The sequence below is a fragment of the Homo sapiens genome, chromosome 20, assembly GCF_000001405.40.
Source record: "Homo sapiens chromosome 20, GRCh38.p14 Primary Assembly".
NCBI lineage: Eukaryota > Metazoa > Chordata > Mammalia > Primates > Hominidae > Homo > Homo sapiens.
The window spans coordinates 54529501-54552766 of NC_000020.11; the positions used below are offsets into that span (position 1 = coordinate 54529501).

The following is a 23266-nucleotide window of genomic DNA, read 5'->3' on the forward strand; positions in this document are numbered from 1 at the left end:
TTTGAATTTTACCCCCAACAACAAGTTTATAAGGGTGACTTTAAAAAAAAAAACAGCATTATTGGGATATAATTCATATACCATAAGATTCATCCTTTTAAAGTGTATAATTCAGTATTTTTAGCATATTTACACTGTTGTGTAACCATCATCACAATGTAAATTTAGAACGTTTTCATCATTCCATAGAGAATTCCCGTACCCATTAACAGTAGTCACTTCTCATTTTCCCTTCCATCAATTTCTGAAAACCACAAATCCACTTTCTGTTTTCATGCATTGGCTTCTTTTGGAAATGTTGTATAAGTGAAATCCTACAATACATGGTCTTTTGTGTCTGGCTTCTTTCACTTAGTACATTGTTTTTGAAGTTTCATCTATGTTGTAGCATGCATTAGTACTGCATTCCTTTTTAAGGCTAAATGATATTCCATTGTGTGGATAGACCACATTTTGTTTATCTATTCATCCATTTATACATTTGGGTTTGTTAAATTAAGTTTAGCCTACAACTGTCTCTTTTTATATATTTTAAGTTTAGCCTAAAGGTTTTTTGTCAACTGTAGTTTACTCTTGTGTCAATTACTGAATTTTGGCTAATCAAAGATGACCAACTGTTTAAATCATGCACAAGTGCCATGGTGTGACCAATTTGGCTATTTCTGTATCTCACTTTTGTTTCTTTGTCCTTTATTTGGTGTGTGTCTATAAATCCTTTTTTACTATGTGGCTATGCTAAAGTCTCTGTAAGCCTATTCTGGCTTGAGAGTCTGCCCTATTACTCATTATTTATTTGACATATTTTGAGATGGCTGTTCAGGGGGCCAGCAGACAGAAGCAACCTGCAAAGCTGTTTTCTATGGGCGAGATTTGCATCTGTAGAGAGTCTACATTGAGGCAGCCAACCCTACCCTTGTCTTGATCTACGGAAGATTAACTGAGAGTCTGACACCTTTAAAGAAGAAACATTTACTATCTCTTCTCTCTGAGGGCTGCTACCTGTTTGATTTCATTTACACAAGACCACCTTTGCTAACCAAGCCTCCTCTTCTCTACTTCCCATGACCTGTCTTGCCAGTCTAACCTGGTTTATCAGCCTAGCCTAATTTGGGCCATCCTGAGCCCTCATTCTTTCTGTAACCTCAAGATGGTTTATAAGCTTCTGCACCCCATCGGGTAGTTGGGGTATTCACTCTGTGGTTCTCTCCCATGTGCACGTTAATAAATTTGTATGCCTTTTCCCCTATTAATCTGTCTTTTTTGAGTTGATTTTTTAAGACAGCCTTTAGAGGGTGAAGGGAAGCTTCCTTTCACCCCTGCAATACCCTGTACACCCATTATTTCCCAAATGTAAGAATATATATGACCCACATAAGAATATAAGAATAAAGGGGTAAGCTAAGTTCCTGTGAGCGGAATTGCAGGATCAGAAGATGTGTATATTATGAGGAACACTCTTGTCAAGTTGCCCTTCCATGGAGACTGTCTGAACCACACTCCTATGTGTTATGAAGAGCTTGAGGCAATATTTCTGTCTGGACCAATTATAAAGAATAGTTGTGACTTTCCTCAGTAATTGGTTTGTTTTTGTCTTATGGAGAATGTTATTCACAACTTACCAAGCTTGGATTATGTTGCTTGCTTAGAGCCTTTGTGGTCCATCATGAATGTCTGTGAAACTATATTCTGAACGTTTGTTAGTGTCACTCCACTTTCATATATTATGTGGTATTGGAAAAGCCTTTCACTGGAGCTTAAAATTCTCACTCAGGTGAATCTTGAGTCAATTTCAATTTTAGTCATAGAACCCCAGAGCTCCAAAAGACTAAAGCGTCAAGAACCTAGTTTATAGCCAGGGAAGTCTTTCAATTTTGAGTGAGTTTGGGTAAAATTCACTATAGATAGAACACCTAAGGATAAATTGATATTATAGAGGAAATAAATCACCAGCTTCTCTCATTTTATAACAAATCAGAGTAAGAATGCCATTCCAGGGCTTTGCAATATTCAGCAACCTCCTACAAGCTTCTTTTTGTCTTTGGATACAAGGAAGATAGAAGTTGAGTCTCTTGCCTCCACGTATTACTATTGGAGACAAAGTCTTGGGGAAGTCAGGTTCCAATTAGTTTCTAGGGGAAAGGCTCTCACTTTCTTCATATCCTTTGAAAAAGCAATCCAGTAAAACTTTACAAAGTTTCCAAGAAAGCGCAAAGAAAGATTTATGTGAATGCCACTGGCTCTACTGATGTTATGTATTCTTTAAGTTGGGGATTCATTTATTTCTTCATTTTACTTGGAAACTGTTTTGTTTTGTGCTCACCATGACCCAATTACTATAATTTGAGCAGTGCATAAAGCAGGCTCTGCCCCTCATAGAATTTACAGTCTAAAGAGAGATAATTATACAAACAATTACTTTAAGTGTAGTTTGTTTATGATGGAGAAAGGTCATGTGTTCTGAGTGTGGATGAGAGGGGCCTCTCATGTAATTGATTTATGCAGCAAGCATTTGTTGAATACCTACAGTATGGTGATCCCTGTGCTAGAGCTGGGGATACAGTAATGAAGGCTATAGACAAATACCCTCCACCTCTGGAAGTTGGAGTCTAGTAAGAGCATCTCTCATTTATTAAACACTTATATTCCAGGCCTTGTTCTAAGGTGATTTAAATGTAGTAACTCATTTGACCCTCTCGACAACCCAGTGTGGTAGATAGGATTACAATTATCTCATGAAGGACAGAGAGGTTAAACAACCTGCCCAAGGCCACACTGCATGTACATTTTGGAATTAACCTGCTCGTGGGCAGGTGGGCTCCTGAGGTTGTGTTCTTGACTTTAATTGTATATGCTTCTCCCTATTCTGTGTTTATAGAGAAGAAGGCATTAGGAGAGGTTTCCTAGAACAAGTAACATGATACATAAAAGATAAGTAGCCAAGTGGAAGGGTGTGGAATGGGAAGATTGTTCCACATAGATGCATTGCGCCCAGGTGCAAGAAAGAAGGTGGGGAAGGTGGCAATAGTTTCAGGAAAGAAAGGAGCCTGGTGTGTGGGAGGCTGGAGGTGGGTATATCTTCACAGCTTGGCACAAGTCTTGTAGGTTGCCTGCAGACTCAAGACTTTATGTGCCGGGACTGCTGCTGTTCTCAGCCTCTGTTTTGTTTCTTTTCATACTGAGTGATCTTCACCGTGTCACTTTTGCTCTTGTTTTCTATGTCTGCCTGCTGGCAGTGACTTTGCTAGCCAGGATCAAGTTTGGGCAAGATACCAGGAGGCTCAGAGACCTGCGATCTGAGTGGCATTTCCTCAGGCCTTGTCCTGACCTCCTGGCCCAGAGCTAATTGTGCTACCTAAGTTTGAAAATGCTTTAAAATTTCAAGTATATCCTCCTGGGACAACTGGTATGTCTTGGCTTGATAAACAAGTTGATATCTATGTCTACCTGATCCTAAGGCATTTGCCACTCTAATTTGTCATCTTGTTGGTTTCCAACGTGACAAGTACTTTGGTTGTACATTGCCTCATCCAGTAGACCAAATTCTGATTAATTATTCCTTTTAAATCTGGGATAATGGCTTTAATTTTGAGAATCCTCTTCTTTGCCTAATGCCTTCCTTTTCTCAACTTCAACACCATTGACATTTTTGTTGCAGAAAATTCTTTGGTGGGGGCTGTTTTGTGCGTTGTAGGATATTTGCCTGCATCCCTGGTCCCTACCCATGAGATGCCATTAGAAACCCCTCTCAGTTGTGATGACCAAAAGCTTCTCCAGACATTGTCAAATGTCCACTGGGGGACACCATCACTCCTAGTTGAGAGCTATTGCTGTAAGCATAAAGGAATAGTATTCTTCACCTATAGTCCTGTGTCATTGCTATATGGATTGTGTTTATGAACTGGATGATGTATTATAAGAGGCCATTTCACAGCATTTCAATAATTTGAAATTTAAACATTTTTTTCTAACCTATTGTAGTTAAATTAATACAAATAATAAAATAATAAAACATCCAATTAACAAAAGAATGCATAATAATAAAATAATAGCTAACCTTATTAAGCACTAAGTATTGGGTACCTTATACACATAGCTGTAAGTTCTGCACTACCATTATCATCATTAACAGATGGAAAAACTGAAGCTCAAAAGGGTAAGTTATTTACTCAAAGCAGAATGACAGTATTTTTTTTACTTTAATTCTATCTCAAGCTTCTCATATTTAGAGCTTAAGCTGAACCTCTCTTAATATTAAATTTGTGATATAATAAACAATATTTTTATTTCTGATTTTGTTTATTATTTGCTTGATGCCAGAAGATAAATTACTGCTTTTTCTAGGAGGACAATTATATTTTTGATTAATATTGTAATTTTAGAGAAAGTGGATTCCCAAAATGCTGATCATTTTTTTCAGCTAGCAGTATTTATAGACAGCAACCATACTATAACTTATTTGATAATTATCTAATTTTTGACTATTTTTCTAGTGGATTATTAAAGTATTACTTTATTGTCAGGAGTAAATTCCTGAAGAATGAATTCAAAAAGAAAATAGCCAGTATGGCTGGACTACCCATTATAAAACATGGATGGTGGTAAAGATTCGTTTTTGATCAAACCTTGGGAATTTGAGCTCAGGGTGCAAAGCAGGGCTTAGGAGAGAGATGAAATTGATTTCAAATCTTTTTTGCTTCTTTTTTTGAGACAGGGTCTCACTCTATTGCCCAGGCGGGAGTGCAGTGGTGCAATCATGGCTCACTGCAGCCTTGATCCCTCTGGGCTCAGGTGATCCTCCCACTTCAGCCTCCAGAGTAGCTGAGACTACAGGCGCACGCCACCATGCCCAGATAATTTTTGTGTTTTATTGTAGAGATGGGGTTTTGCCCTGTTGTCCAGGCTGGTCTTGAATTCCTGGGCCCAAGTGATCTGCCTGCCTCAGCCTCCCAAGTCCTGAGATTACTGGCATGTGCCACTGCCACATTTCAAATGTGACTCCATAATGTATTAGCTGTGTTACCTTGATCACATTGCTTAAGTGTCTGAGTCCTAGTTGTTTAATTTGTATAAACTGGACATTAACAGGTCTTAGCTCACACAGTTTGGGTGACATTTAAGTGAAAGCATACACGTGAAATACTTAGTTGAATACCTGTCAACTAAGCAGTGAAGATCTGTGAGGAGGAGGATGATGATATATTACAAATAGTGTGCTGACAGTGCTTAATATCTCTCATCCTTAAAACAAACAACAAAAACACCTTGCAGATGCTGTCCCTTTCATATCTCTTCACAACAAGAATTGATTTTGAAAGCATGTTTCTTTCTTTCTTTCTTTCTTTCTTTCTTTTTTTGAGATGGAGTCTCACTCTGTCGCACAGGCTGGAGTGCAGTGGCACGATCTCGGCTCACTCCAACCTCCACCTTCCAGGTTCAAGCAATTCTGCCTCAGCCTCCCGAGTAGCTGGGATTACAGGCATGTGCCACCACGCCTGGCTAGTTTTTGTATTTTTAGTAGAGACAGGGTTTCACCATCTTGGCCAGGCTGGTCTTGAACTCCTGACCTCATGATCCACCCGCCTCAGGCTTGCAAAGTGCTGGGATTAAGGTGTGAGCCACCACACCCAGCCGAAAACATGTTTCTTTCCTGGAAGTTATCTGTGAAAATCTGCAACTGTCTCCTCTATGGCCACCCAGGTTTCCTTCCCTTAAATTCTTGGCTTAAATTTTTTTACCACATGACAATTATTCTTCCCCTTCTGCCCTTTTCTGGCAACATCTGTTCCTTGTGGGTTTTTTTTTTAAAGAGTGCTTTCTCAACCATGGAATTCATTTCTCTTCCCTTCTTTGAGACTGACATTCTAATTTTCTATACTGAGCCTTCTCACAAAATGTCTTTTACTGAATGTTGCTTCAATAATGTGGAGGTTGAGAGACTGAACCTTGCTGAAATGTTTCCTTGTGAAATTATTACAGTGATTCAATTTCAGAACAGACATTTTTTAATGCAAAATCCCTAATTTGGGATTTTTTTTTTTGCCACAGTAGAGTGATATATCTCCAGTTTTGCTACAGCTTGTTTTTAACAAATATATTCTATATTTGTTTTATCTATATGGAAATTTATTCATCTTGAGGTTCTGTGGTTTTAGAACAAAACTCACTGATGTTTGAAAACATTGATGTGACAAATGGCCAGCAGAGCCCTTCTCCATGGTATAAAAAGTAGCACTTGGTACAATGAACTTTTTAAGGAAAAATGTGTGGAGCAATTGTTTAAAAGAATGTTTCTCTTAAAACAATGTCTCTCAGTATGATTTGAATATTTGTACTCTACATATTCTGGACTTTTTAAAAAAAATAATAAACCTCTTATATAAATATGTTAAGGCATGTTTGGAAATGTCAGGCCTATTCTGAGGCTTTTGATCCAAGGGCCTCATTTATGAAATTCTGGGAATTTCATGAGTTCTCAGTATGACTTTTGCCCACTCATTTTTTTGCTCATTTGTTTATTCACTCAGCCATTCAAAAATAAAGAAATGAGAACATAATACTCTTCCAGGCCTTGAGGATTCAAAGTGATTCAGATAAAATATAGTGTGTTTTTATATTCTAAAGACCAAGGCAAAAACTAAAAATGCAGACAAATCAGTAAGCAAAATAATTTAAGGTATTGACTTGAGGTCAATTTGTGGAGGCCTAGGGGGTGCTTTAGATTTGGGAGATGGGAATGTGTCTCTGAGATGGTGACATCATGGTAGACTGTGAGTGCATCAGTGGCCTTAGTCACTGCCATAATCTTTGCTTTGTGACTTTATTGTCTCCATCAACTCTGACTCTGGGTTTAACCATGTGAGATAAAATATTAGCAAACTTGACACAGCAATGGCTTATAAAAGTATTTACAGGCTTCCACTTTTGGGAACAGTGAGTAGGTGTGCCTTTTCTTACTCCTCTCGCTGAGACTATAAAGCTGGGACATTGCATGTAAATCAAACCTAAGAAGACTCTGAAAGGTGGAGAGAAGAAGTTAGCCAGACTAACTTTTGCCTCATAGATCCCACACATGGAGGTAAAGAAGCCAACAACCCAGAAACCCCAATAGGCACACACAAAAAAAAGTCCCAGCAAAAGCCTGCTCTCCCTGGCCAGAGGACCAGGAAGTGTGGCAGCCTAGCAAGGCAAGAAACTTTTAGATAAGAGCTGCTCTATACCATTCAAACACTAAAGAAGAGACTGTGGCCCCACCCTCTCCAATGAAGGCCAAGTGGGGGACCTAGTCTTCCACCCTCATGAGACTGTAATGAGTTATCCCAATACTTCACCAAGATGATGTCTGTGAAGGCCGAGTCAGGAGCTCAGACTCTCATCCACACCCATCAGTAACAAGTCCTCCACACCATGGTGTCTGCGGAGACCACATGGGAAGCCTGGACTTCTAATTCTGCTCAGTAGGAATGAGGTGCTCCTTCCTTCCCCACTAGGGTGGTGTCAGAGGAGACCTAATGGAATCAGCATTGCCCAGTGGTAATGAGGCCACTCCTACTGCAGAACCAGTGGAGGCCGCATGAGCAGACAGAATCCCTACCACCCCAACCCAGCAATAATGCGGGGGCCTGTCAAGTATCATTATCAATAATGAGGGGCCCCGTCAAGTATCAAGTATGATTTTCTGGGGATTCTGGATTTCTACCAGCAGCAACAAGAAGGCATACTTTCCTACCCCTTCTCCTGTTGTAGCAACATTAGAGGCATCCTGTTGAAAGAGATTTATTTAAGATCTAGAACCTCATAACATAATGTGCTAAATACTTAGGTTTCAATAAAAAGTACTTATTATACCAAATCAGGAAGCTCTCAAACAATGAATGCCAACACAGAGGTGATAGAATTATCTGACAAAGATATGAAAAGAGCTGTGATAAAAATGCCCCAAGGAGCAATTACAAACTTGCTTGAAGCATGAGGAAAAAAATTGAAAATGTTCTCAAGAGAAATGAGATAGAAAGAAGGCCCAAATGGAAATTTTAGAACTGAAAAATACAATAATTGAAATTGGATGGGCTCAACATCAGAATAGAGAGAACACAGGCAAAATAGACCGATAGTAATCATCCAGTTGGAATAACAGAGAAAAAATAGACTGGAAAAATAATCACAAGAGTTTCAGGGACCTTGTGGCATTGTAACTAAAGATCTAACATTCATGTCAACAGGGCCCAGAAGGAGAGGAGAGAGACATGGGACTGAAAAGTGTGGAAGTCCTCATCTACCATTGCTGACAGAATCTTGGAAACTGTGACTTTAAGTGAAATGATGTACAAGTTCTTTTTTTTTTTTTTTTTTTTTTTTTGAGACAGAGTCTCACTCTGTCACCCAGGCTGGAGTGCAGTGGCACAATCTCAGCTTACTGCAACCTCTGCATCCTGGGTTCAAGCAATTCTCCTGCCTCAGCCTCCTGAATAGCTGGGATTACAGGCACACACCACCAAACCCAGCTAATTTTTGTATTTTTAGTAGAGACGGGGTTTCACCATGTTGGTCAGGCTGGTCTTGAACTCCTGACCTCATCCTCCTCCCGACTCGGCCTCCCAAAGTGTTGGGATTACAGGAGTGAGCCACTGCACTTGGCCACAACAAGAAGTTCTTGAGTAATGTCGTTTCATTATTATGGTGAGAAAAAAATTGGTTTTATTATGCACTTTTTTTTTTTTTGCTTTAAGTCACAGTTTCCAAGAACCTATTGATATTAAGGGAGGACCTAATAAACTCAATGAAATAATGGCTGAAAAGATTTGGCAGAAGGAAGTTTACTCATCCAGTGCTAAGAGAAAAGAACTGTCAACCCAGAATCTTATACCTAGCAAAAATGTCCTTCAGGAATGAAGGGGAAATCAAGACACTGTCAGATGAAAGAAAATAAAGAGAATTTGTCACCAGCAGATCTACCTTAAAAAATAGTTGATTAAGATTTCTAAACAGAAAGGAAACAATACAAGAAGGAACCTTGGGACATCAGGAGGAAAGAAGGAACTCAGTGAGCAAAAATATGGGTAAACACAATACGTTTTCCTTCCCCTCTCAAGTTTTCTAAATTAGGTTTGATGTTTGAAGCAAAATTATAACATTGTCTTCTATGTTTCTAACTGGATATAGAAAAAATATTTAGGACAATGATAAATAGGAGAAGTAAAATTATGTGAAGGGTGGTAAAGTTTATCCCAGAGAAATAATGACTTATGGTCACACAAAAATCTGTGTACGAATGTTTTTAGCAGCTTTATTCATAACAGTCAGAAGCTGAAGAACCTAGATGTCCTTCAGTGACCAAATGGGTAAACAAACTGTGTTACATTAGTACAATGGAATATCATCACCTGGGTGAATCTGTAGAGAATTATGCTAAATGAAAAAAGCCAAATCGAAAAGGTTACATACTGTATGATTACACACATATAACATCGTTGAAATGCCAAAATTATATCAAAGGAGAACAGGGCCGGGCACCGTGGCTTACACCTGCAATCCCAGCACTTTGGGAGGCCAAGGCGGGCAGATCACAAGGTCAGGAGTTCAAGACCAGCCTACCAGCCTGGCTAATAGGGTGAAACGCTGTCTCTACTAAAAAATACAAAAATTAGCCAGGTGTGGCAGCCTGCGCCTGTAGTCCCAGCTACTTGGGAGGCTGAGGCAGAAGAATTGCTTAAACCCGGGAGGCAGAGGTGAGATCGCACCCCTGCACTCCAGCCTGGGCAACAGAGCGAGGCTCCATCTCCAAAAAAAAAAAAAAAAAAAAAAAAAAAAAAGTGGAGAACAGATTAGTGGTTCCAGGGCTTAAGGCAGGCAAGGAAGTAGTTGTGGTAATGAAAGGGCAAGTGAGGGATCCTCATGATGGAAATTTTTCTGAATCCTGCCTGTATCAATGTCTGTATCCTGACTGTATTATACTATAGTTTTGGGGCATGTTTCCCTTAGAAGAAACTGAGAAAGAGTAGCTACAATCTCTCTGTAGTATTTGCTGCAACTGCCTGTGACTCAACTATTATCTCCAAATAAAAAGATTAGTTGAAAAATGAAAAGCATTTTCAATGTCTGTTTGCTGTCATGGGCTCCCGCTTGCTCCAGAAGAATAAGCCCCAGATAGGCTATTGGAGAATCAGACGCCATGAGCCACAGAGCTAAGTCATTCCAGGCAACCTTAAGACAACCCAGGACTTGACTGCTCATGTGTGAATGAACCCAGCCATGATTAATGAAGCCGGGTCAGATCAGCCAAACTGCCCAATCAACAGTTATATTCATGGGAAGCGATAAATTGTTGTTTAAGCAGCTAAGCTTTGGAATGATTGGTTATGCAACAATAACTAACTGATAGAGAAATTCCACCTAAGACGTGAAGGAGGAAAAGGAGTCAACCACGTGAAGTGCAGCGGAGGAAATATTCTCTTATCTCTTGTCAGAGAAGAATATAACACTTTGGAGGCTGGCCTATTATGAGTGAAGTAGGAAGTGGTGGGATATGAGGCCTAATGAGTAAGCAGGGGTCAGTTATATAGGGTAGGCTAAGCAACTGGAACTTAGTCTTGGTGACTACTCAGAACACCTCTCTAAGTCCCTTTGGAAGCCCCAGGGAGATCATTGCTTTTTTTTTTCAACTCTACAAAAATACCTATTGGGTGCATACCACAAAATGAGTGCTCTGCATAGATAGTCTATCACCATTATGACCACAGACCTGGTGTTGTGCGAGGGCCTGGAGTGCCTTGTTATTTGTCCCTACGTAATAGAAAGTAAAGTTTCTGGACTTTGCTTTCTGTACTGCTCTTTCCTCATTGCTTGGGACAGTGTCTGTCTTGTAATTGGTGCTCAGTAGATATCTGCAGAATAAATGAGTAAATGAAGGAAACAAAATGTGTTGCCCTTGTTTGCATGCAAATCACCACCTAGCTGGATGGTATGAACTGCTAACCACTATGGAGTGTTTGCTATATACCAAGCAATATGCTAAGTATGTTATTTATTTATTTGTTTATTGAGACAGGGTTTCTGTTGCCCAGGCTGGAGTGCAGTGCATGAGCATGACTCACTGCAGCCTCAACCTCCTGGGATCAATTGATCCTTCCCCACCTCAGCCTCCCAAGTAGCTGGGACCACAGGGGTGCACCACCACACCTGGATAATTTTTTTATTTTTCTATTTTCTTGGAGATGAGTTATCACCATGTTACCCAGTCTGGTCTTGAACTCCTGGCCTCCTGCAATTCTTCCACAGTGGCCTCCCAAAATGCTGGAATTACAGATGTGAGCCACCGTGCCTGGCCCTAAGTACTTTACATGCACTGACATATTCAATCTCACACAGCCCTATAGGGAAGATAATATTATTGTGTTTATAGAGTGCAATAAAATCTTGTATATATAGTCTCATATACACAATGTATACAGAACTACTTCTTCATTATGCTATTAAATATAATTTTTATACAGGCTTAGATATTTAATAGGTGTGACAAGCTCAATATCCCCATCCCCAAACTTCACACCTCCCTACTGAACTTCGTCCTTTTCCAGGCTTTCTCAGCTAATGAAAACTCCATTCTCCCACTTGCGTGAGCTAAACATTTTGGAATCATCCTAGACTTTTGTCTTAACCTTACCCTTACATTCAATCCCATCAGTAAATCATGTTGATTATAATTTCACAATATGTCCAGATTCTTAGCACTTTCCACTTCTCCTCCACTTTCATCGTGGTCCAAGTCAGTATCACCCCCTGCAATGTTTGTTGTGACCCCCTCTAACTGGTTCCCCGACCTGCGCCTTTCCTGCCCTACGGTACCTGAAGTTGGATTATATCACTTCCATTCAATGCTTCGTCTCACTTCCCATCTCAGTCAGAGAAAAAACCAACATCTTTACTCAATTATTTATTTTTATTTTTTACTTTTTTTGAGGCAGAGTCTAGTTCTGTTGCCCAGGCTGGAGTGCAGTGGTGCAATCTCCGTTCACTGCAACCTCTGCCTCCCAGGTTCAAGTGATTCTCCTGCCTCAGCCTCCCGAGTAGCTGGGATTACAGGCTTGCACCACCATGCCCGGCTAATTTTTGCATTTTTAGTAGAGATGGGGGATTCACCACATTGGCCAGGCTGGTCTAGAACTCCTGACCTCAAGTGATCCACCTGCCTGGGCCTCCTAAAGTGCTAGGATTACAGGTGTGAACCACCGTGCCCGGCCAAGCCAACAACTTTAGTGAAACCCATAAGGTCTGACCGTGCTGACCCACGCTCACCACCACTGCCAGCCCTGAACTCTTCTCCTATCTTCAAGCTTCTTTATTCTCCCTTTAACATGCTGGACATGTGTCTGACTCAAGGCCATTTATTTCTTCCACCTAGAGCCCACCTCCCTCACATATCCACTCTGTTGATTGCCTTGTCTCTTTCAAGTCGTTGCTCAGATGATACCTTCTTCATGAGAACTTCCCTGATCATCCCTCACCCTATTTAAAATCACAATACCCACCACTAGCAATTCCTATCACTGTCCTTGGTTTATTTCCCTTCGTGGTGCATCACACCATGAGACATATTATAAGATACACACACACACACACACACACACACACACACACACACACGCATGTAAGCATATATATCTTATTGATTGTATGAAAGCACAACAAAGACAGCAGATTTTCTCCCTTTTGTTCATAGCCATAGCCCCTGTACCTAAATAATGCCTGGCACATGGTAGGCACCTGATAAATATTTGTTGAATGAATTAAAGAATGATATCAGCTCTCAAATTTTTGTTTAAATAGAATGCTCACCCAGTATTTTAGATTTTCTGGCATTTCTTTAGTGTCTTTACTTTTTTCTATAAAACTAGTTAGAAATCGAAGCTAGACAAATAAATATAACAAATTATGGCTTCTTTCTGCAGTGCTTCTGCTTTGGAGAAGAGAAAGGCATTGGAGACAGAGAAGGAAAAGCATATATAACTTTCTGTTTTAGCGCTTGCTTGGTTGACACTGGTCAACTTTGTACTGACAAAGGAAGGGTTCCCTGTGTGTGGCAAGAATGCTCTGAGCTGTTCATGGCAGATATTGATTCCATCAGAATGTTTTCAAAATAATATATTCATTTTTATTATACGAAAAACACATACTACAGGACATATATTTATGAAAGAAGAATGTAAAATGAAGAAAACTGCAAAATAGGTTACAACATAGGGAGGTGCCAGTTCTTGAGGGTTCTGGAATGTCTTATTAAGACGTTGATTTTTATTGATTTTTGCCCTAAAGGCATCAGGCAGCCACAGAAACACTTTAGGTAAAGGAGCAATGTGTTCAGATTACTGTTGCCAAAATCACCCCAGATGCTAGGTAGAAAATGGATTGCAATGTAGCAAGAATAAAACAGGGAGCCCTCTGAAACTCAGAAGATGGTAGCTTAGAGTAGAGTAGCATAGAGTTGGTAGCTTAGAGTAGAGTAGCATAGAGTAAGTAGCTTAGAGTAGAGTAGAGTCCCTTGCAGAGAAATATAAATATTCCTGGTTTAACTAGAGGGTAAAAATACACAGAATTTGGTGACTGATGAATTGTGTTAAAAGATAATTTTCAAAACAGGTAAAATTATGACTCTTATACAAATGTAGAATGAAGATGTGTTGAAGTTTCTACTTAACTCATTAATTAAATGAAGGAACAACGTTGAATATTATAACTAGTTCAAAGGGTAATTCAAAGAACTCATACATTTATATATCCCGAATGATGAAATGAATATTCAAAAGGAGGCAAATCTAGCTTCGTGGACAGTGGGGGGTGGGGTGGGTGGGATTCAGTTGAACCTCTACTAGACAGGACATAATTTGCATCTTTATAGACTAGAATAATTTTGCATTGTTTTCACTTACCTACAACTTACAGAGAAGTAGAATAGCTCCCACAGAATCAAAAGCAGGTAATTCTCAAAAGGTACTTGCTACAGAAAGCCCAATTTTCCATTGAAGTGCAGATTATTCCCTAGAATTGCTGTGTGTGTGTGTGTGTGTGTGTGTGTGTATGTGTGTGTGTGTGAGAGAGAGAAAGAAAGAGAGAGAGGAGAGAGAGGAGGGGAAGGGAGAGGATTACGTATAGCTCAAATCTTGTATGAGCAACTGCAACCTCCGCCTAATTTACAGAATGAGTGTATATGTATATAAACTAGAAGAGAAACAGATTAAAAAGCAGGGGCAACCTCCTTTATGTACTTAATAACTGACAAATAGCATTTTCTATGGTATACATATTATTTTACAATATCATTTCTAATGATGGAAACCTCTAGTTTACACATTTGCCATGATTAATTAAACCAGTCCTCTGAAACATTTAGAGTATTTCCAGTTTTTCTCCAGAGAGCCCTATTCCCATACCTGTGCATATTTCCTTAATTATTTCCTCAAAGGGAAGTTCCTGGAAGCAGTATTTCTGGGTCAAAGTGTAGATATAATTCTGCCTCTAGAAAGGCCGTGCTAATTTACTTCACCACCAGGAAAGGGTTGGCTTAGCTAATTTATTCCCTGTGGATGCTTTTTAAGGATTTTTAATCTTCTTTATACATATTTTACTTCATGATTAACTAACCCATTTTTGCTGGTATTTTTCTTTACAGTAAATTTAAAATATATCTTGATATCCACTGTTCAATTTTCTCCAAATTGGCTTTTCTTTCCTTACAAATGAAGGGTATATATGAATCTTAGGCATAGAATCATGTTGTTTACTCATTAAAAAGATTTTTTTTCCTTCATAAAATACATGATTCTGACCCAGCTCATTATTTTGGTAAGTGGAATTGGTAGCAGCCTGTATATTATGACTGGGGGAGGCCCTAGAAATCACTTTTTGTAGTCTTCAAGCACCAACTGTGAAATCCTGTCATGACACAGTCATTCATAGGATGGAAAATTCTGACTTTCTTGGCCTCAGAGATCATCCAGGCCAATGCCCTTGTGACTGCTCAATGGGTTCATTTTAATCACTCCCCAGGTACAGCCAATTTGTCAAGACAGAGGAATTGCAGTAGGGAAATAGTTTAATTCACCCAGAGCTGGCTGAACAGGAGACCGGAGCCTCTGTGGACATTTGGAAGCTAGGGTTTTTCAAGGATAGTTTGATGGGCAAGGGAATGGGTGCTGCTGATTGGTTGTGGATGCAGTCACAGGAGTGTGGAAAACAGTCCTGTGTACTGAGTCCACTCCTGGGTGGGGGCCACAGGATCAGTTGAGTCAAGAGTCATAGGTCTGGGTGGGGCTATTGGTGGTCAACAATGCAAAAGCCTGAGAAGACAACTCAAAAGGCCAATCTTAGGTTCTACAGTACTGGTGTTATCTGCAGGAGTAATTGAAGAAGCAGCAAATCTTGTGACTTCCAGAATCATGGCTGGTAATTCTTTATGCCTACATCTTAGCAGAATAGCTCCTCTCATCCTCCTAACCTGGTGGTCTTTCATAAGTTTTACAAAGGCCATTTAGTTCTGAAGAAAAGTGATTATCATTTAACCTATAAACTAAATTTCTCCCAACGTTAGCTTGGCCCAAGCCCAAGAATGACTAAGGGCAGTTTTGAGATTAAAGGCAAGATGAGGGCTGATTAGATCAAATCCCTTTCATTGTCTTAATTTTCTCACTGTCATAATTTTTGCAAAGATGGTTTCACTCTTATATTGCAGAAGGAGAAATTTGCAGACAATGGCAGATAGGATGGAGGGGCATTACCTGTGGGGCAAACTCCTATCTCCTGGTTCTCCTTGGTTAACATCTCCACCCTTGACTTCCAGATTATATCAACCCACACCATTTTCTGTGGCTATTGAAAAGCCTGAAAGTGACAGAGGAGACTGAGACTCTAAGGGGATAGTGTCAGCCAAATTGGAGGGTTGGGCACTCATGGAGAAGTGACTGGTCAGCCCCAGATAGTGGACTGTCCAGGCCAGCAGGGAGTCATTTAGCCTGAACACTAGTTTACCACCACCATGGCAGAGGAAGAGCAAAAGGCTGAGAGTTAGAGAAGCAATGAAATCCAAGAAGAGTTGAGAAGTTGTATGAGATAACATCTAATTCTAATGTAGTTAGAAAAATACTTAGCTTGGCTTCCTGCACTTCTGTCAAAGACACTGACTATGCTATCACTGAAGGAGAGATAATATGGAGTTCTTTTCAAAGCAAATACTTCTTGCAGATTGCTAGGATACATGGAGTCCTGGATTAGTGTCTTAAGAACCCAGTTTCAGAAAAACTCCCTTCAAAACTATCACTGTGGGTGAACACTTAGTGCCAGTGAGTGAACTTAAAATCACAAACGCAAATGTCACACTGAAATAGATTATCTATAAAGTAGTCGTCCAGATGAAACAGCATATGGCTACAACTAAGTGTCTCTTTTTAGATTATGATAAGCATGAAAATAAACTTCTTACAGATGGATCGACCATCAGCCTGAGTTTATGCATCCCTAAGAGTCCAACTTTGCTGAAAAAATTCCTGGAGTAGTGGTTAAGAGCTTATTTTCCAGATTCAGGCAAACAAAAGTTAGAATCCTGGCATATTTCTCCTAGCTTTTGACCTTGAGTAAGATGCTCAACCTCACTAAAAACAAAATTTGCTCATCTGTGAAATAGGAATAATAATAGAATCTGCCAAACAGGAATGTTGGGATGACTAATTGAAATAATGCATATAAAAGGCTCAGCATTCCACAGTGCGCAGAAAAAGAGTTCAGCCAATGCTAGGCATTAATATTAACATCCTGCTTGAGAAAAATATTTGATTTGCTTTGGAAAGTAAGTGCCAATAGGAGTAGCACATGAGAACTGAGGCTAATTCAGTCAGCACTGTGAGGATATATATCTTTTTTTTTATTATTATACTTTAAGTACTAGGGTACATGTGCACAACGTGCAGATTTGTTACATATGTATACATGTGCCATGTTGGTGTGCTGCACCCATTAACTCGTCATTTACATTAGGTATATCTCCTAATGCTATCCCTCCCCCCTCCCCTGACCCCACAGCAGGCCCCAGTGTGTGATGTTCCCCACCTTGTGTCCAAGTGTTCTCATTGATATATATCTTTAGAGTTTGGAGAGAATGCTCTGAGAAGAGAAAGTCAATGTGATTACAGAAAGGGAATGCTGGCAAAATGGAAAACAATTTTCACCTACTTAGTTAAATTGTACCTTAACTTCATAGAATAACTATAGAAACCTAACTGCAGCCCAGTGCAAGAGATGGGGATGCTAATGGATCTGCATGAGAAAGTGCTCTTCAGGATGGCATCCACCTTAATTGTAGAACAGTGATTCCCCAATGGTGGACAGGGAGACCAGACATTTGGTGGAGGGGGTTGAAAAAGCCTCAAGTCAACATTTTAATAGAGTTTTATTGGAGTAGAATCTTGGCTTATGGGGAGATGTGGAATGTATAGGGATTCCACAGAAGGCATAATTACTTCCATTTCTCCCTGGAGAGACTTGTCAAACAGATTTCTATGAGATCTGAGCTTAAAGAGTTGAGAAATACTACCGTAGACCAGAGGTTGGCAAACTATGGTCCACAGGCCAAATCTGGCCCACTGCTTGGCTTTGTAAATAAAGTTTTATTGGAAGGTATCCACACTCATTCATTTACATATATTCTGTGGCTGCTTTCATGCTATATTTGCTGAGTTGAGTAGTTGCAATAGCGACCTGGGGGCTCTCAAAGATTAAAACATTTACTCTTTGGCTCATTACAGAAAGTTTGCCAACTCCTGTGGTAGATTATAAAGGCCTAAACAGCCCCAGGCAGTGTACTATTTCCTTTCAACAGGAATTTTGTGACCAAAATTTGCTATTTTCTTCATAACAGTCCTTGAATCCTTTAGAAGTATAATTGTTACTCTTTAAGACATTGTGAAGGCTTACTATTATAGTAAAATTAGGAATTCTAAGCAAATTCTTAATTGTTTCAGCTGCTTCTTAGAACTGGAAATTTTGGTGAACTTACCAGAATATTCTTTGCTAGGAAAAGAAGCCAATAAAAAATGTTAGAGATTTTAAACCAGGGCTAAGCAATTATTAAGGGTATCAAATTTTAAAGGAAGAAAAGACAAAGGAAAAACAGAAGAAATTATTCATGGATTGGTGACAATTTAAGGCTGAAAATTAGGTATAATAAAATCACCACCACCAACAACAAAGTACATGCTGAATGAGATTTTCATGTAACTACTAAATCTGCTGTCTTTCCACCCAGCTTATTAGAACTGTGTGATGTGCTTATCTGCTTAAGCTTTGACAGTGGCCTGTGGGGATTGACTTGTTCAAATCAGGGGCTTTGAAGATATTCACAAAGACACATATTTTTCAAATATACAATTTCAGATCAGCATGCATTCAGCTGTGGCAGTGGTCCTCATTTTGCCCCCCAGAGGATGTTTGACAATGTCTAGAGACAATTTTGGTTTTCAGTGGAGGTGGGAGAATCTGCTACTGGCATTTAGCAGGTGGAGGCCAGAGGTGCTACTAAACATCCTACCATGCACAGGATAACCCCCCACTAGAAAGAATTTTCTGGCCCAAAATGTCAACTGTGGTAAAATTGAGAAACATGATGTATAGGAGGTGAGCTATTTCAACATGGAAGTTATACTATCATTGAATTCTCATACAGTGTATTTACATTAGGATTACCTATCTTTTATTTATTTATTTATTTATTTATTTATTTATTGACACTCTGTCATGAGGCTGGAGTACAGTGGCACAATCTTGACTCACTGCAGCCTCCACTTCCCTGGGCTCAGATGATTGTCCTACCTCCGCTTCCCAAGCAGCTGGGACTACAGGCATGCACTACCACACCTAATTTTTGTATTTTTTTTTTTATAGAGATAGGATTTCACCATGTTGCCCAGGCTGGTCTTGAACTCCTGGACTCAAGCAACTCACCCACCTGGGCCTCCCAATGTGCTGGAATTACAGGCATGAGCCACTGCACCCAGCCAGGATTAACTACTATTTATAGCCAGTGAAACTATTATAGTTCGAATAAAAGATTTCTCTTTTAAATAAAAATGTTAGTTTAAAAAGTCAATTTAAAGAAAAATGTTAACTAAACAATACTATAGATGACAAGTAGATTTGTTACATAAAATATAAAGACAGTTGAATGAATTAATTTTTAAAAACTGCCCTAAACTCTTAAGCGAATGGGATTATTTTCAAACTGTCATTCTTTGAAACAATGCCAGTGTTAACCCAAGTAGTTCCCACATGCTATCATATTTAGTAAGTCTTCCTGTTTTATTTTTGCTAAACAATACTGAGATATTTAGGATAAGCTTTTAGTCCTCTGGATATTGGTGGCTCTTCTCGTGTTCTTAGGACAGTGTGCTGGCAGTTGAAATTGGGAGTTTAGTTTAACGGATTACATTTCTCCTTCACTTTCTCTCTCAAACTCAAGATGGCAGCTCATGCCGCTCTGTTTCAAAGGCCACCATGTGCCACCTTTTGCAAGCCACCCATCTCAGATGCCCGCATCGGGAAGCACTTTTAGAAGTCTTTGTCGGCAGCCCCAAGAGGGAGACACAGCGTCGTCTGAAAGTACTTTATAAATATTTATGGGATTGACTTGCAAATTACAGATAAAATACCTGAAAACATGGTAAAGAGCAAATTTGTCTGGTCCCAACTGAAGAGGTTTTGACTCAGTAGACCTCGGCTAGTCTCTAGGAATCTGCATATTTAACAATTATCCTGAGTGATGCTGGACCAAACAGTGAGAATCACTGAGGTATGATATATGACAATAAAGGAAAGATCTTGATTGCACACATTGCTCTCAACTTTGGTACTGTCTGCTTTTGTACCATGTGTTTGTATGTTATAGTTTGACATCACAGACTGCCTGTTCATAAACCAAATTTGAGTTTTCCTTATCTTCTAATGAACCAATGTATTTTCATTTGTCCTTACTACTTAATAAATCAAAAGAAAAATAAGAAATGAGAAAAAAGTCCCCTAGACTTAATACCGATGGGTCAAAAATGGAAATCATTAGGCATGCTGAAATTGAAGAACCTTTAACTTGCATTCAGCAGCTTTTGGACATAAGCCAGGCAAAAACTGTGAAGAAAATGAACACATTTTAAAAAATGTTAGAAATGCTGTCATTGAAGTTTGGGTCTGAAAACTGAGGGATAGTTAGGAAATGTAAAATATCTTTCTTGGTGAAGATATTTTTTCTTGCAGTGGGCATGATTTTTGCATACCTTTAGCATGTTCAGTTTCTGAACACATTCTTGGGGCATGTACAAAAGCAAGAGGTTGCCAATAGTAGAATGACAGCAAGAAACTTATTTTTCACATCCTTTATTTGAAGAAGCAGAGTGACGTTCATTCCCACTGTAATTACAGTTCTCAGGTGGTGGAAATATTTCAAGGGAGCCAATCGTCTCATCTGTTATTCAGACATAAGCAAGATGTTGATAGGACTCTCCTTGACAACCATAGTACTGAGAATGTTCATTTTCATGGCTGAATCTCCACCTGAAAAGGATTTTGTGCTTGAACTCTTACCAATGGCTCTTGTAACTTGCCTTCTTAAAGTTACTCACTCTGGTCGTTAATTAGACTGTGATTGGATGGCAAAAAAAAAAAAAAAAAGGACTGGAGAAGAATGTAGATGACATATGTTAGATTAGGCTGTAATTTTAAGATCTTGCTTTAATATCTGTACATCTTACTGTCTTTTTAAAAATTTAATTAAACATTCTATTTCAAGATAATTGTAAATTCACATTCAATTGTAAGAAATATTACAAAAAGATCCTATACCCTCTACTCAGTTTCTCTGGTAGTAAAGTCTTCCAAAACTACAGTATGATATCGTAACAAAGATATTGACATTGATATTGATGTAGTCAAGCTACAGAACAGTTCCATTGCCACAAGGATCCCTGATGTTAACCTGTTACAGCCAAATCCACATCCCTGGGCTCCCTCTCTCCTCCACCACCACATTCCTAACTTCAGACCATCGTTAATCTGTTTTCCGTTTCTATAATTTTGTGACATCAAGAATGCTATACAAATGCAATCATGTAGTATGTAACATTTTAGATTTGGCTGTTTTTTTCACTCAGTATAATTCTTACAGAGATTTATCCAAGTTGTTGCAGATATTAATAGTCAATTTCTTTTTATTGCTAGTAGTATTCCATTGTATGGAGGATGTACCACAGTTCGTTTAATCATTCACCCACAGAAGGATTTCCACATTATGAGGCTTCCAGGTTTCGGCTATTTTGAATAAAGCTATAAATATTCATATACAGATTTTTTTTTTATGTGGGGATAAAAGTTTTCATTTCTGTGTCATAAATTCCTAAGAATGAAACTTCTGGTTGTATGATGCTGGTTTCATTTTTTAAGAAACTACCACTGTTTTTCAGAGTGGCTGTACCATGTTGCATTCCCACCAACTATGTATGAGTCATCCAATTTTTCCACATCCTTGTCTGCATTTGGTGGTGGTGGTATTATTATTATTTCAGCCAATCTGATAGGTGTGTATTGGTAGCCATTGTGGTTTTAATTTGCCCTTCCCTCAGAGGCAGTGATATTGAACATGTTTTCATGTGCTTCTTGAACATCTGCGCACCCTCTCCGGTGAGATGTCTGTTCATGACTTTTGCCCATTTTGTCATTAGATTATTTGTTTGTTTTACTGTTGTGATTTGAGGGTTCTTTGCCTATTCTAGATACCAGTTCTTTGTCAGATATGTGGTTTACACATCTTTTCTTCCAGTCTCTCACTTGTCTTTTCATCCTCTTCACAGAGTTTTTCACATAACGGAAGTTTTCATTTTGATGAGGTCCAGTTTTTCAAATTTTCCCTCTGTGGATTATGCCTTTGATAACAGGTCTAAGAACTCTCTCCAGACTGTGATCTCATGCATTTTCTTTTTATCGTTTTATTTGATATTTAAGTTTTATCATTTTATTTAATATTTAGGTCTATTTTAAGCTATTTTTATATAAGGTGAGTGTTTTAATGTTTAAGTCGACGATTTTTCCACCCCCCTCCATGGATGTCCAATTGCCTCAGTACTGTACACTGAAAAGTTTGCTTTTCTTCCACTGAATTGCTTTTCCACCTTTGTATCTGTGTTTTTATATTGCTTGATGGATTTAATAACTGTGCAGGATGAAAACCAATAGAATTGACTAATTATACTAATACCTCTGGGTATTTAAAAAATAACAGAATCCTCTTTCATTTAATTTACAGGTTTTTTGTTTTGTTTTGTTTTTTTGGTAGTCTCTCTCTGCTGCCCAGGCTGGAGTTCAGTGACATGTTCTCGGCTTACTGCAGCCTCTACCTCCTGGGTTGAAGCAATTCATGTGCCTCAGCCTCCAGAGTAGCTGGGACTACAGGCATGTGCCACCACTCCCAGCTAATTTTTATATTTTTAGTAGAGATGGGGTTTTGTCATATTGGCCAGACTGGTCTCAAACTCCTGGCCTCAAATGATTCATCCATCTTGGCCTCCCAAAGTGCTGGGATTACAGGCATGAGCCACCTTGCCCAGCCATACAGTATTAACTTTTATTAAACAAAACAAAAACTAACAAACAAAACCCAAAATCTATTCTCACGATCCAGAGAAAACGTTGTTAACATTTTTTTTTGTCTTTTTCCAATGCATTTTTAGTATAGTGGAGATCATGACCTAAATGAAAATTTATATTCTGCTTCACCCCTCCCCACAATAACATATTATGAACACTTTTCTATGTCCTTGGAAATTCCTTCTGAAACTTGTTTCAAATGAACCAACTATGTTATCCTGCAGACAGATAATATATGTATTATAGATGTAGTATAATTTACTATATAAATATTATGTACACTATCTATATTACTATTTTTTATAAAATAATTACCTATGTTATCTTACAGATGTATAACATTTATTATAGATATATTCTATATGTATCGTAATATGTACTACATGTTTACTATATGTGTACCATTTACTTTATATAGCTACTAATGTTGCTCTATAGATAAGTAGATATATTACATTATATATTGTAGAAGTATTATAATTTACTTTGTCACTCCTTATTGTTGAAATTTGAGTAATCCCTGACTTTTTTATTGTAAATAATGCTGCTAACATTTTATTGTACATTCGGTGGGATCAGACACATATCTTAGCTTCTTTAT

At 38.8% G+C, this 23266-nt stretch overlaps 1 protein-coding gene across 4 annotated transcripts in view; it reads left to right on the plus strand.

The window, feature by feature from the left end:
• The window catches only part of DOK5 (docking protein 5), a 175577-nt gene that overhangs the window by 53908 nt on the left and 98403 nt on the right, over nucleotides 1-23266 (plus strand). The window contains exon 1 of one of the 4 annotated variants that reach the window (XM_024451946.2): nucleotides 19485-19825. The exons of the other annotated variants lie outside the window; for them this stretch is intronic. Coding sequence (XP_024307714.1) covers nucleotides 19796-19825 — 30 coding nt within the window. The 5' untranslated portion in view covers nucleotides 19485-19795. Of the gene's footprint in view, nucleotides 1-19484; nucleotides 19826-23266 lie in introns of those variants that run through there. 4 annotated transcript variants of the gene reach the window in all.